Source organism: Homo sapiens, chromosome 4 (assembly GCF_000001405.40).
Source record: "Homo sapiens chromosome 4, GRCh38.p14 Primary Assembly".
In the NCBI taxonomy this organism is placed as follows: Eukaryota; Metazoa; Chordata; class Mammalia; order Primates; family Hominidae; genus Homo; species Homo sapiens.
Genome location: NC_000004.12, coordinates 128213382 through 128229619, shown reverse-complemented (window position 1 = coordinate 128229619; position 16238 = coordinate 128213382). Strand labels below are relative to the sequence as shown.

Sequence of the window (16238 nt, the reverse complement as noted above, 5' to 3'; positions counted from 1 at the left end):
TATGAAGCATCTGGTCAGGTCCTTGATAACTGTTAAGTAGAATTTTCTGGTCATAAAAGTTCACAGATACTCCAAGGTTCATCAATAAGGGTTTGTCTGGTTTTAGTTGACAGCTTCTTAACCCATCACACTTCATGTCAACAACCAAGAAGAAGCAATGCTCTGTAATACAGTGTTTTAATCCGTCTATTTCACACAGCCAAGGGTGAGGGCTTTGTGAGAAGCCTGGAAGCCTGTGAGAGATGAAACTCACAGGCATCTGGGAAAGCCTCTCATTCTATCTTCCCAACCTGAAAGGAGATATACTATTGCTGATTCATTTATGAGATTGCCTTCAGCTGGTGAAATAGCAAGGGCTAATCACAACAGGAGGGCTCTTAAAAAAGACAAAATAAGAGAAAACAACAAAAGCCCTCCCCATTAGCTGTTGGTTTCACTTATAAGCAATTGCCAGGACTCTGGCAGCAGTCGTTTTGGGGCCCTCTTGACAGGATTCACACACAATCCACAGAAGGTAGAAAGAAATCTCTTCATCTCTGCATGTTAATTAAGGAGGACAGATGGCCCTGTGATTATTCAACCATATGTAGGTCAAGACTAAATGAATTAATAAGCAACTTAATTCTCAGTCGCCTCCAAGAGCTTATGAGGCATCTATGAACAAACAATTGCCACAGTATCCTGGGAAACAGGAGATGGGGGCAGGGAGAGAGATTAAATTTCCCTCATTGCACACTAAGTTCCACAGTCTAGGAAAGGACATCTTAATCCCTCTACCACACATTGTCTTCCATACAATATTTGGGATATGAAAATGAGTCCAAATTTATCTTAGTTATCCAGGTATATATTGTATAACTGCAGCCCATAGGGTTTCTTTTTTAAAAAGTTAAGCTTGATGGATTACTTTAGGACTGAAAAGCAAAGAAAGTAAAGCCTGGAATCATAAAGAGAAATGTAACAAGACGGGCAGCACATGCTGGGGCCAAAACAGGGGTCAGAAAACAAGTTCTGAAAAGGCTCAGAGGAGCACAAAGATGCTGTCCCTGGGACTGCCAGAGCTAGAGCTCGATTTGGACCTGAAGAGCCAATTGGGGAGAAAAGGGGATCATTACTATTTTGAGTGCAAAAGGTAGGAAACTGTGCAAGGCATGCAAGGGGCAGTAATCAAACCAGTGTGAGCAAAGGAGACAGGTGATGCAAGGGAACTGTGAGGGAACAGCTGGCACAGGTGACAGGCAGCAAGGAGAGCCCTGGATGGCAGCAGTGCTGGCTGCTTTCAGGAGAAACCAGTCTGTCCTCCTCCCAGTGTTCCTGCCAGAGTCCACAGAATAGAAATTTGAAACCCTTCAGGCATTTGTACTGGAAAAAGTATTTCTTTCCTCCTCCCCGCTGCTCCCAACTCTTCCCCATGTATGAGTGATTGATGAGACTGGCAGAGGAACCAAGCTGCCCTGCTCAGCAATTCTCTCCCTTCCTCTTACCAGCCATAACTCCCTGTGGAACTGACTGATCTTCCCTCATCTCTTCCTCCTCTTCTAAGTGTTAAGCTGGTTGCCTCTAAGGAGAGGCCTGCATTTGTCCAGCTGTCTCTGGATGGCAAGTTTAATTATCTGAGCAAAGGCATAGGTATTAAACCCAGTTGTCAAATCCAGCACTATTGGTAGTGATGGCTATTTTGCTCCCTTTCTGTCTGCATCCTGGGTATATCTGATTTGTTGCAGCACACTGAAGGGGAACAAAGGGGGCATAATTTATTATCTCCTGCTTAAAATCCCAACACCCACAAGTCCAGAAGGATATACATAGATGCTGTACTATTTGTCTTTATAACAAAACCAAATGCTTTTGCACCACACATTGTCTTCTATATTGTATTTGGGCTGTTAAGACCAGGCAACAGCAATACATCTTAGTTTCTCAGCCTCGTGAAGTTTAGGAACTTTCTAAAAAAATTTTTTTTTAAATATGCATATAACACAAAATTCAAAAGGTGATAGGATAAAAATTCTCTCTCATATAACTCTTTCTACAGGCAGCCATTATTATCACTTTATTATTTATCCTTGTAAGGATATTCATGTATACAGTATGAACATATTTGTATATTTTTTTAACCAAAAGGTGGAAGACATAATGCTGTGTGCCTTGCCTTTTTTAGTTAATATATCTTACAGATCACTCCTTAAGGAATATTCCATTCTTCCTTATCAACTGTTGAGCTGTCATACTTCATGGAATTCCATTATATGACCATACAATAAAAATTAATCACTTTTATTGACAAATACTCATTATAATCTTGTGCTATTTAAAGTAATGACTATATGAGTATTTACATCTTTGCACACATGTGCAAAGATTTTATTTGCAGGGTAAATTCCTAGAAGTGGAATTGCCAGGTCAAATGGCAAATGCACTTAAAATTTTGAAAGCTATTGCTAAATTTTTAACCATAGAGGTTTTCTACCAATTTATACTTCTACCAACATTGGCTACTGTTTTTCAAAATATGGTTCTCTTGTGACTTTCTCTGATCCCTTCCTAAATATAAGAACTCTAGCAACAAATCTGAATTTTAAGGTGGCTCATGAAGGAATAGAACGGTCAGACAATGCCAGGTATTATTTTAACTGCATCTGCCCTGTTTAGCAGGCAGGAACTTTTGCAACTCCACAGCCTTCCCTAGCTTCCGTTCCAGCCATGGCCGCTAGCGTTTATCCGATGTCTCAATAGGTACACACTGTAATCAGGGGTATTAGAAAAAGAAATTGCTAACTTAATGTCTTATTTTCTCTCAGGGATTTAAAAGAATTAAAGGAAACAAGCACAGGTGGTAATTGACCTGGTTAACTCTGGAATCACTTTGAATCTACTTAAAATAGGAGTCACGTGGAACACAAGGGAGGAGGTTCATAAAGCACATGCTGTAATTTAGGGTACATATAAAATCATTACACCCACTTAAAAGCAATCTTTTGAGTGACTTTAAAATATGAGAGCTATTTTCATTGCATGGTAGACTAGAACCAAGGCAAATGAAAGCAAATGTATGCTTTCTTCTCACTTTTCCTTTATGTACAGCCTCGCCAACCTTTCCGGATGTCCTCCAAAATAGGGTCCCATCCAGTATCATTCTGCCATGTAACAGAGCTTCTTCTCTTGGCTTATACTACATGTTCTAAAATTATCCTTTCTCTCCCAAATAAGTTCTTTCCCCTCTGTACCTAATTTTTTAATCTACTCTCAGAAATATGGGCTCTGATTAATTAATTTTCACCTGAGTGGCTAATTTTTCCTTCCTAGAAGTACTTAAGATTTTTAATAGCAAGAGCAGGTTAGTGCCAGATAGCACTTTACATGTATTTTCATTTAATTTATTGAGCAGAATAAGGGCCAATGGGTTAATCTAACTTGCCCAGTCATATAGCAAAAGCAGAGTTTGGATGCAGGGCTACTTAACTCCAAAGCATGCACCTTCCCCCTTTTGTCAGTGCATTTACACTTTTTTGCTTGAAAACCCCCTAAAATAATTTTCATAAGCTATATATCCCTCATGAAGCTTTAAGCTGACATCTAAGCTTTTTATAATTTTAAATAATTGCATAGGTCATAATTTCCAGCATATTATAAATTTCATTTTAAGCGAATCCAACGAAATCCAAATATATAACATTTGGATCTATTTTTTTAAATATATGAGCAAGTTATTCTTTAACTTTTAGAAAGCTTACATCTTTCCTTTTTCTCCTTGAGCTTGTATTCTATCCCATTTTTTCCAGATTTTTATCATAATGTTTTTATGTTTGAAAATATTATTGACCAGATATGTAAATGTATTAAAACAAAAATAAGTACATAATTTAAAATTTTACTTTACTCTGACTATAAGTGGTTCTAGTTGATAAAAACTTTTCTTGAGTTATTACAAATATTAATATAGAATTGATCGAGACAACAACAATATATACACATTTTGGTAATTATTAAACATAAGTAGTAAATTTGTTATTATCACTTAAGTTAATATTAGCTACTGTAACAGATAAAGTTCAAAATCTTGTGGCTTAATATAATTAAAAGCTATTTCTTGATTTAATATAGAGTCCCCAAAAGGACTAGGTAGTGATTCAGGGCTACTCCTCAGGGCTCTGTTGTTTTCAACATATGGCTTCTGTATAGCTGAAGAAGAAAGGAATGAGCATGAAGATGGCACGTGGCCAAGTCTAGAAGTGGAGCCCCTTACTTCATCTGCTTTCCAATAACCAGAACCAATTATATTGGCAAACCTGAAAGAGCAGGAGGACAGGAATGCAGTCTAGCATTCTAGAAATGCTTTGGGTAAACAGCTCGACAATCTTGGCCACAGATTTACTGGAAATGCCTGTCTTGAGAAAAATCATGATTCAACTTTTAAAATAAATCTAATGAAACAGAATGCTTTAGTCTACTAAAAACAAATTTAGCAGCTATTTTTAAAATAATATATTTTGTAAATAAAAAGTTAACAATTTTAAACATTTTGTAGGATGGACTCATAGTAATTGTAATGCATATTTTATGATTTGATAAAAATGTGTTCTAAATCCCTCATTGAATAATACAGTGTACACTAGCCACAATATACAAAGCTTTACCCATAAATATTTATAAAGAAGAGAAATTTAGCAAGTCTTGTGGGTTTATGATAGCTCAATGAATTACTATGAAGATTTCACCTATGTGTGGCCCATGACAGCTTGCATAACTACAGCAGTATTTGGGATAGGTCAGGACAATGCCTTTCTTTTATAAAGTGGAGGAAAAAAATTAGGAATTTGTGCACCTTTTCTCCTTCTCCTCTTCCTCCTTTTTTGTAGAGACTGGATTTCGCTATTTCCTCAGGCTGGTCTCGAACTCTTGACCTCAAGTGTTCCTCCCACCTTGGCCTACGAAAGTGCTGGGATTACAGGCATGAGCCACTGCACCTCCCAGGAGTTTCTAAAGGTGGGAGTTTTTGACAAACCAATTAAATATTTTGATGCCTTCCCTTGGCCCTTGAATTAGACTATATCCTCTGTTTCACTCAATAGGACTTTTAACGTAGTAGTACTAACAATGAAGCTTTGTTCAGGATCAAGAATCCCCCAAAGATAACACAATAATTACCCTGAATCAACTGTGTAAAGCTTTAAAAAATCAAGCAAGTATGTTTAGCTATAACCATACTTCAATCTCATATACAGTTCCATTCCCTGGATGATGGCTAGAAGGATTTCTAGTTACAGCCTGCCTTCTATCAGTCTTCACTCTTTTGGCTCTTATGTGTTTTATCTCTTCAGCACTTGTGATATTGTTTAAAATACCTTACATATTTGAATGTGGCTTTTGCTGAGAAATTAAAAATAAATAAATATAAATAAAATATCTTACATATATTGTCCTTGTATAGTTTAAGAATTTAGGCAAAATATTATGTTATATATGCCAGATGTCATGATAGTTATTTTAGATGACAGGATTTCAAGATATTCCTTCCATCTTTCCTCCTCTTTTCTTTCCCTCTTTCTTTTATTCTTCTTTGTTGGAAATATAATGGTAACCAAGATAGACAATATTCCTGACTTCTCATAGTTGAGAGAAGGTAAAATGCAAAGATTGGAATGAAGTTTTACTTGGGTAATAACTTCCATGATATTCTTTTTTATTCTGAAAATATCCTTATTACGATTATTTGAGCTATTACTATATCACTTTAGCAAAGTTTAGGCACTAGTGATTTAAATAACATAGTCAAGGCCGGGTGCAGTGGCTCAGGCTTGTAATCCCAGCACTTTGGGAGGCTGAGGCAGGCAGATCACCTGAGGTCAGGAGTTCAAGACCAGCCTGGCCAACATGATGACACCTGTCTCTACTAAAAGCACAAAAATTAGCCAGGTGTGGTAGCGTGCGCCTGTAACCCCAGCTACTCAGAAGGCTGAGGCAGGAGAATCGCTCGAAGCCATGAGGCAGGCTGTTGCAGTGAGCCAAGATCGCACCACTCCACTCCGGCCTGGGTGACAGGGCAAGACTCCATCTCAAAAAAATTAAAATAAATAAGTAAATAACATAGTTGAATGGAAAAATATGACAAGTATGAAAAGTTTCAGGAATAGTCATTAGAGATTGGTTCTAGGAAATTGTGCCGATATGCTTTAAAGTGAATATAATGGTATCAAGTTCATTTCAATACATTCATGCACCAAGTCAAAAACTGTATTGTATGTAATCCACAAACTTTAAGGTTTTGAAAATAAATTTTTATTAAATAGCTAAATATTACCTAGAATATGAGAACCTCCATCCAGGCTTCCTAGAAACCTATACTGTAATCTTCAAAATAATAAAACAGGCCAGGCGCGCAGTGCTCACGCCTGTAATCCCAGCACTCTGGGAGGCTGAGGAGAGAGGATCAATTGAGGTCAGGAGTTCAAGATCATCCTGGGCAACCTGGCAAAACCCCATCTCTACAAAAATAGAAAAGTTAGGCGGACATGGTGGTGCATGTCTGTAGTCCCAGCTACTCGCGAGGCTGAGGCACGAGAGTCGTTTGAACCTGGGAGGCGGAGGTTGCAGTGAGCCGAGATCTCACCACTGTGCTCCAGCCTGGGAGAAACAGGGAGACTCTGCCTCAAAAAAAATAACATAACATAACATAACACATATAAAATAAAATAAAATAAACATGTAGTGTTTATTAAAATGTAGAACAACAATAAAGCTGGCTGAAGATCAAGATAATCTGGTGGTCCGAGAAGTTACCTGCCTCCCCTGCGGGCTCTGCCTGTGGCCTAGATAAACCAGCTTTTTGCCTTCAGTGGTGGGCAGACACCAATGTAATTTGCTATTTCCACAATCCTCAATTGGAATGTCTATTGGAGACAGGTCTTAACACAAGTAGAGGAAAAAGCTGGTACAAATTTACCTGTAATAAAACTGACTTAAAGAGTAAGTTATTCCCCTTCTTGGGAATAAAGACAACTTCTCACAATAAAGACAACTTCTCTTGGTGGGAGGTAAATTTTTGTTGAAGTTGTTATCTAAAAGTTATTAAAAATGTCCCAGGGCAGAAAAAAAGTAAACAGAAATATGGTTTGTAAGATGCAAGTCAAACTTGGAAGTGGCATTGATGTGGGGTGGGGCGGCGACTGGAGTGTCACTGAGCCCAGGAGAGGTCACAGGAAGGCAGATTCTCATATCCTGCTTAGGAACTAGATGTTTATGATGAGCAGAAGTAATCGATCATGGTGATTCTGGGAAAACATAATAAGCAAAATTGTTAAAAAACAAAGGGAAAGAACTAAAACTGAAGGTGTGATTTCAGATTCATGGTAACTGCTTCATGGAAATCATGCTCTTGTCACTTGGTCAAGGTCAGTAGAAATAACGGCATCTAAGCAACTCTACTACTTCTCACATGGAAGTCAGTGAACCACCACAAGGGCAGAAAAGCATTCATAAACCACTATGTTAGGACAATAAAACAATTAAAATCAGACTTTTCCTTACTAATTAAAATGTTTTAAGTAGATTAATTTCCCATGAAAATTTAAAATTATATTCACAGCCTACTGGAGAAAATACCTTGCAATACCTGGAGATAATTTGTCCAGTGCTTAGCCCTAATGATAGCTCATGTTTACTAAGTGCTTACTGTACCACCATGCACTGTGTTACATGCTGTGCATTTATTCTTCAGGACACTATGAGGTAAGTGTAATTTTGTAGATAAAGGACTGTAACTTAGTGAGAGGGGCCAGGATTCAACTCATGTTTCTAACAAATAAGCTGTCTCTAGAGCAGCAGTTAACTAAATTTTGGCTCTCACAGACCCTTTCCCTTAAAGTCCATCCACTGACTCATTAAAATAAGTCTCACCTCAGATTATACTTAAAGGCATTCAACTGGAAACCAGAAAATGTTAACATTAAGCATTACAGTACTGTGATAATGTTTGTGTTACAATAAAAGTCTAATGAATCTTAAAACACATGGAGAAAGGTACTCAATTTTGTAGACTTGGAACACTATCTGGAAAAAAACAAAACAATAGCAGCGGATTCTGGTTTCTAGAATTTATTGAAGCTAATACGTGCAGTATATTGTTAGAAACCATTCTATTAACCAAAGTATTTCTCAATTTGCAAGGAAAAAACAGGCTTATTGTAAAGAACTCAGAAAACTGACACAGAGTGTAAAGTCAGAATTGATTCCTATCAATTAACCTTGTGGGATATTTCCTTCAAGCCGAACAGTTCAGAATCTTCAGTTGTCAATAATAACCCTAAATAAACTAATGCAAAATTTCTAAGCAAATTCTAAATAAAATGCTCAGTTTCATTTGTATTTTACCTTATCTAATTCTAGGAAAACATTTAAACACATGGATGATATTTGTTTCCTAATCAAAATTTCCTCCCAAAAGATTTAGCATATATTGTAAATCATTTATCACATAATTTATGTTTTTAAATACTCCATTAGACCCTCCATTACTGCAGAGGATGCCTATCATCAAAAAAAAATGCAGTCTTAACCACAAGAATCCAATCTTGATTTATAATACTTAAGAATCATTGCAGTTGAGTTCGAAAGTCAGGGGTTCTGTGTTCTATTTCACGCTGTTAAAGAACAATCTGGTTAAGATGAAGAGCCTGGGCTCTGAAGCCAGACTACTGGAGTTCAAACGCTAGCTCAGCCATTCAACTAGTTGTGTGATAACACTTTGTTCTAGTTACAAGATTAACAACTAGTTTTAAGTTTATCGTGTTTTAGGTAGGATCCATTCATTAACTTGCTGTGTGACTTAACTACATGGCTTAGGTTAGCCAGGAGATATACCTTAAAATCTGCTTGCTTTGTTCACATCTCAAGAGTTAAAAAAATAATGCTAATGAAGTACTTCAAACTCTTAAGTGAAAGGACAATACCAAAGCAAAAGTATTTCCATTTTTAACTATACACAAGTCTTAATGTTATCATATATATTTACTAATAACCAAATAACTAATGCAAATTTACCAATAACTAGGGCAATGCCTAACCACGTAACGAGTTGTGAGACACACATATGACTATTAGGAATGCAAGAGTAATTGATATAATTATATGATATCACCACAAGATGGAGTAAGAGGTCTCAAAAACACACACATACTCACTTTCCTGTCAAAAGTCTACAGATCTGACATTCCGTTTTGCCATCTCATGGTGATATAATTAGGTATTACTCTATCGGATCAGCCTCCTATGCAAGAATAAAATAAAAATAATAGTTACATAAAAGCCAAGAAATTAGTTGAAGGAAAAGATTAAACACACAAAGGAAAGTGGTGACACTACTTTGTAAAATGGCAAGAAGCATACAGAATGTCAGAGTGGAGTTCCAAACTAACATAAGCTTAAAAAATAAAATCTAGCCAGGAGCAGTGGCTCACACCTGTAATCACAGCACTTTGGGAGGCTGAGGTGGGTGGATCACCTGAGGTCGGGAGTTTGAGACCACCCTGACCAACATGGAGAAACCCTGTCTCTATTAAAAATAAAAAATTAGCCGGGCGTGGTGGCACATGCCTGTAATCCCAGCTACTCAGGAGGCTGAGGCAGGAGAATCGCTTGAACCTGGTAGACAGAGGTTACAGTGAGCCGAGATCGTGCCATTGCACTCCAGCCTGGGCAACAAGAGCGAAACTCTGTCTCAAAAAAATAAAATAAAATAAAATGTATTTCAAAGCTAAAATAATATAAACATAACCCCCTTCCTAATTCCATTTATTTATTTATTTATTTATTTATTTATTTATTTTATTATACTTTAAGTTTTAGGGTACATGTGCACATTGTGCAGGTTAGTTACCTATGTATACATGTGCCATGCTGGTGCGCTGCACCCACTAACGCGTCATCTAGCATTAGGTATATCTCCCAATGCTATCCCTCCCCCCTCCCCCCACCCCACCACAGTCCCCAGAGTGTGATATTCCCCTTCCTGTGTCCATGTGATCTCATTGTTCAATTCCCACCTATGAGTGAGAATATGCGGTGTTTGGTTTTTTGTTCTTGCGATAGTTTACTGAGAATGATGGTTTCCAATTTCATCCATGTCCCTACAAAGGACATGAACTCATCATTTTTTATGGCTGCATAGTATTCCATGGTGTATATGTGCCACATTTTCTTAATCCAGTCTATCATTGTTGGACATTTGGGTTGGTTCCAAGTCTTTGCTATTGTGAATAATGCCGCAATAAACATACGTGTGCATGTGTCTTTATAGCAGCATGATTTATAGTCATTTGGGTATATACCCAGTAATGGGATGGCTGGGTCAAATGGTATTTCTAGTTCTAGATCCCTGAGGAATTGCCACACTGACTTCCACAATGGTTGAACTAGTTTACAGTCCCACCAACAGTGTCAAAGTGTTCCTATTTCTCCACATCCTCTCCAGCACCTGTTGTTTCCTGACTTTTGAATGATTGCCATTCTAACTGCTGTGAGATGATATCTCATAGTGGTTTTGATTTGCATTTCTCTGATGGCCAGTGATGATGAGCATTTTTTCATGTGTTTTTTGGCTGCATAAATGTCTTCTTTTGAGAAGTGTCTGTTCATGTCCTTCGCCCACTTTTTGATGGGGTTGTTTGTTTTTTTCTTGTAAATTTGTTTGAGTTCATTGTAGATTCTGGATATTAGCCCTTTGTCAGATGAGTAGGTTGCGAAAATTTTCTCCCATGTTGTAGGTTGCCTGTTCACTCTGATGGTAGTTTCTTTTGCTGTGCAGAAGCTCTTTAGTTTAATTAGATCCCATTTGTCAATTTTGGCTTTTGTTGCCATTGCTTTTGGTGTTTTGGACATGAAGTCCTTGCCCACGCCTATGTCCTGAATGGTAATGCCTAGGTTTTCTTCTAGGGTTTTATGGTTTTAGGTCTAACGTTTAAATCTTTAATCCATCTTGAATTGATTTTTGTATAAGGTGTAAGGAAGGGATCCAGTTTCAGCTTTCTACATATGGCTAGCCAGTTTTCCCAGCACCATTTATTAAATAGGGAATCCTTTCCCCATTGCTTGTTTTTCTCAGGTTTGTCAAAGATCAGATAGTTGTAGATATGCGGCATTATTTCTGAGGGCTCTGTTCTGTTCCATTGATCTATATCTCTGTTTTGGTACCAGTACCATGCTGTTTTGGTTACTGTAGCCTTGTAGTATAGTTTGAAGTCAGGTAGTGTGATGCCTCCAGCTTTGTTCTTTTGGCTTAGGATTGACTTGGCGACGCGGGCTCTTTTTTGGTTCCATATGAACTTTAAAGTAGTTTTTTCCAATTCTGTGAAGAAAGTCATTGGTAGCTTGATGGGGATGGCATTGAATCTGTAAATTACCTTGGGCAGTATGGCCATTTTCACAATATTGATTCTTCCTACCCATGAGCATGGAATGTTCTTCCATTTCTTTGTGTCCTCTTTTATTTCCTTGAGCAGTGGTTTGTAGTTCTCCTTGAAGAGGTCCTTCACATCCCTTGTAAGTTGGATTCCTAGGTATTTTATTCTCTTTGAAGCAATTGTGAATGGGAGTTCACTCATGATTTGGCTCTCTGTTTGTCTGTTGTTGGTGTATAAGAATGCTTGTGATTTTTGTACATTGATTTTGTATCCTGAGACTTTGCTGAAGTTGCTTATCAGCTTAAGGAGATTTTGGGCTGAGACGATGGGGTTTTCTAGATAAACAATCATGTCGTCTGCAAACAGGGGTAATTTGACTTCCTCTTTTCCTAATTGAATACCCTTTATTTCCTTCTCCTGCCTGATTGCCCTGGCCAGAACTTCCAACACTATGTTGAATAGGAGCGGTGAGAGAGGGCATCCCTGTCTTGTGCCAGTTTTCAAAGGGAATGCTTCCAGTTTTTGCCCATTCAGTATGATATTGGCTGTGGGTTTGTCATAGATAGCTCTTATTATTTTGAGATACGTCCCATCAATACCTAATTTATTGAGAGTTTTTAGCATGAAGGGTTGTTGAATTTTGTCAAAGGCTTTTTCTGCATCTATTGAGATAATCATGTGGTTTTTGTCTTTGGCTCTGTTTATATGCTGGATTACATTTATTGATTTGTGTATATTGAACCAGCCTTGCATCCCAGGGATGAAGCCCACTTGATCATGGTGGATAAGCTTTTTGATGTGCTGCTGGATTCGGTTTGCCAGTATTTTATTGAGGATTTTTGCATCAATGTTCATCAAGGATATTGGTCTAAAATTCTCTTTTTTGGTTGTGTCTCTGCCCGGCTTTGGTATCAGAATGATGCTGGCCTCATAAAATGAGTTAGGGAGGATTCCCTCTTTTTCTATTGATTGGAATAGTTTCAGAAGGAATGGTACCAGTTCCTCCTTGTACCTCTGGCAGAATTCGGCTGTGAATCCATCTGGTCCTGGACTCTTTTTGGTTGGTAAACTATTGATTATTGCCACAATTTCAGAGCCTGTTATTGGTCTATTCAGAGATTCAATTTCTTCCTGGTTTAGTCTTGGGAGAGTGTATGTGTCGAGGAATGTATCCATTTCTTCTAGATTTTCTAGTTTATTTGCGTAGAGTTGTTTGTAGTATTCTCTGATGGTAGTTTGTATTTCTGTGGGATCGGTGGTGATATCCCCTTTATCATTTTTTATTGTGTCTATTTGATTCTTCTCTTTTTTTCTTTATTAGTCTTGCTAGCGGTCTATCAATTTTGTTCATCCTTTCAAAAAACCAGCTCCTGGATTCACTGATTTTTTGAAGGGTTTTTTGTGTCTCTATTTCCTTCAGTTCTGCTCTGATCTTAGTTATTTCTTGCCTTCTGCTAGCTTTTGAATGTGTTTGCTCTTGCTTCTCTAGTTCTTTTAATTGTGATGTTAGGGTGTCAATTTTGGATCTTTCCTGCTTTCTCTTGTAGGCATTTAGTGCTATAAATTTCCCTCTACACACTGCTTTGAATGCGTCCCAGAGATTCTGGTATGTCGTGTCTTTGTTCTCGTTGGTTTCAAAGAACATCTTTATTTCTGCCTTCATTTCGTTATGTACCCAGTAGTCATTCAGGAGCAGGTTGTTCAGTTTCCAAGTAGTTGAGCAGCTTTGAGTGAGATTCTTAATCCTGAGTTCTAGTTTGATTGCACTGTGGTCTGAGAGACAGTTTGTTATAATTTCTGTTCTTTTACATTTGCTGAGGAGAGCTTTACTTCCAACTATGTGGTCAATTTTGGAATAGGTGTGGTGTGGTGCTGAAAAAAATGTATATTCTGTTGATTTGGGGTGGAGAGTTCTGTAGATGTCTATTAGGTCCGCTTGGTGCAGAGCTGAGTTCAATTCCTGGGTATCCTTGTTGACTTTCTGTCTCGTTGATCTGTCTAATGTTGACAGTGGGGTGTTAAAGTCTCCCATTATTAATGTGTGGGAGTCTAAGTCTCTTTGTAGGTCACTCAGGACTTGCTTTATGAATCTGGGTGCTCCTGTATTGGGTGCATAAATATTTAGGATAGTTAGCTCCTCTTGTTGAATTGATCCCTTTACCATTATGTAATGGCCTTCTTTGTCTCTTTTGATCTTTGTTGGTTTAAAGTCTGTTTTATTAGAGACTAGGATTGCAACCCCTGCCTTTTTTTGTTTTCCATTGGCTTGGTAGATCTTCCTCCATCCTTTTATTTTGAGCCTATGTGTGTCTCTGCACGTGAGATGGGTTTCCTGAATACAGCACACTGATGGGTCTTGACTCTTTATCCAACTTGCCAGTCTGTGTCTTTTAATTGCAGAATTTAGTCCATTTATATTTAAAGTTAATATTGTTATGTGTGAATTTGATCCTGTCATTATGATGTTAGCTGGTGATTTTGCTCGTTAGTTGATGCAGTTTCTTCCTAGTCTCGACGGTCTTTACATTTTGGCATGATTTTGCAGCGGCTGGTACCGGTTGTTCCTTTCCATGTTTAGCGCTTCCTTCAGGAGCTCTTTTAGGGCAGGCCTGGTGGTGACAAAATCTCTCAGCATTTGCTTGTCTATAAAGTATTTTATTTCTCCTTCACTTATGAAGCTTAGTTTGGCTGGATATGAAATTCTGGGTTGAAAATTCTTTTCTTTAAGAATGTTGAATATTGGCCCCCACTCTCTTCTGGCTTGTAGGGTTTCTGCCGAGAGATCCGCTGTTAGTCTGATGGGCTTTCCTTTGAGGGTAACCCGACCTTTCTCTCTGGCTGCCCTTAACATTTTTTCCTTCATTTCAACTTTGGTGAATCTGACAATTATGTGTCTTGGAGTTGCTCTTCTCGAGGAGTATCTTTGTGGCGTTCTCTGTATTTCCTGAATCTGAACGTTGGCCTGCCTTGCTAGATTGGGGAAGTTCTCCTGGATAATATCCTGCAGAGTGTTTTCCAACTTGGTTCCATTCTCCACATCACTTTCAGGTACACCAATCAGACGTAGATTTGGTCTTTTCACATAGTCCCATATTTCTTGGAGGCTTTGCTCATTTCTTTTTATTCTTTTTTCTCTAAACTTCCCTTCTCGCTTCATTTCATTCATTTCATCTTCCATTGCTGATACCCTTTCTTCCAGTTGATCGCATCGGCTCCTGAGGCTTCTGCATTCTTCACGTAGTTCTCGAGCCTTGGTTTTCAGCTCCATCAGCTCCTTTAAGCACTTCTCTGTATTGGTTATTCTAGTTATACATTCTTCTAAATTTTTTTCAAAGTTTTCAACTTCTTTGCCTTTGGTTTGAATGTCCTCCCGTAGCTCAGAGTAATTTGATCGTCTGAAGCCTTCTTCTCTCAGCTCGTCAAAATCATTCTCCATCCAGCTTTGTTCCGTTGCTGGTGAGGAACTGCGTTCCTTTGGAGGAGGAGAGGCGCTCTGCGTTTTAGAGTTTCCAGTTTTTCTGTTCTGTTTTTTCCCCATCTTTGTGGTTTTATCTACTTTTGGTCTTTGATGATGGTGATGTACAGATGGGTTTTCGGTGTAGATGTCCTTTCTGGTTGTTAGTTTTCCTTCTAACAGACAGGACCCTCAGCTGCAGGTCTGTTGGAATACCCTGCCGTGTGAGGTGTCAGTGTGCCCCTGCCTCCCAGTTAGGCTGCTCGGGGGTCAGGGGTCAGGGACCCACTTGAGGAGGCAGTCTGCCAGTTCTCAGATCTCCAGCTGCGTGCTGGGAGAACCACTGCTCTCTTCAAAGCTGTCAGACAGGGACACTTAAGTCTGCAGAGGTTACTGCTGTCTTTTTGTTTGTCTGTGCCCTGCCCCCAGAAGTGGAGCCTACAGAGGCAGGCAGGCCTCCTTGAGCTGTGGTGGGCTCCACCCAGTTCGAGCTTCCCGGCTGCTTTGTTTACCTAAGCAAGCCTGGGCAATGGCGGGCGCCCCTCCACCAGCCTCGTTGCCACCTTGCAGTTTGATCTCAGACTGCTGTGCTAGCAATCAGCGAGATTCCGTGGGCGTAGGACCCTCTGAGCCAGGTGTGGGATATAGTCTCGTGGTGCGCCGTTTTTTAAGCCGGTCTGAAAAGCGCAATATTCGGGTGGGAGTGACCCGATTTTCCAGGTGCGTCCGTCACCCCTTTCTTTGACTCGGAAAGGGAACTCCCTGACCCCTTGCGCTTCCCAGGTGAGGCAATGCCTCGCCCTGCTTCGGCTCGCGCACGGTGCACGCACACACTGGCCTGCGCCCACTGTCTGGCACTCCCTAGTGAGATGAACCCGGTACCTCAGATGGAAATGCAGAAATCACCCGTCTTCTGCGTCGCTCACGCTGGGAGCTGTAGACCGGAGCTGTTCCTATTCAGCCATCTTGGCTCCTCCCCCCACTAATTCCTTTTATATAGAAAATGTCAAAGACAGCTTCAACTAATCTCTTAAAAGGAGGAGGAGGAGTTTGAATAACATTTTTAGCATTGCCTTTTTTGATATTGAAAATTGTGCAAAATAATAAAAAAGGAAGCCCTAAGGTCTGTAGGGACTTTCATAAATTTTGGGTAGGGCCATTTAGATTTATAGTCAATAATGTTTTTCTTTTCATTAAATAGCAGTGCTTTTATTTGCTTGAGCTTTACATTCAGAATTTCTTTAAGGGGTATAGTTTTTTAAAATTTTACCCAAAAAAAGTACATACCATGTCAAGCATACATAAGCAAAATTAGAAAGCAAAGGGTTAATATTCTTGATAAGTGAAAACACTCCATAAATTTATCAGAAAGAGATAATCACTCCAAA

At 39.0% G+C, this 16238-nt stretch overlaps 1 protein-coding gene across 4 annotated transcripts in view; it reads right to left on the bottom strand.

Annotated features, from left to right (window-relative positions):
- LARP1B (La ribonucleoprotein 1B) overlaps positions 6694-16238 on the bottom strand; it is a 162138-nt gene continuing 152593 nt past the window's right edge. For 3 of the 4 annotated variants that reach the window (XR_938753.3, XR_938754.3, NR_146772.2), the window contains 2 exons: positions 9180-9265; positions 6694-7271 (listed from right to left, as the gene is read on the bottom strand). Coding sequence is in view for 1 of the 4 variants with exons in the window: in XM_011532057.3 (XP_011530359.2) it covers positions 7230-7271 (42 nt within the window). In the remaining 3 variants the exon portion in view is untranslated. The remainder of the gene's footprint in view (positions 7272-9179; positions 9266-16238) is intronic. The other variant, XM_011532057.3, reaches the window with a different exon arrangement.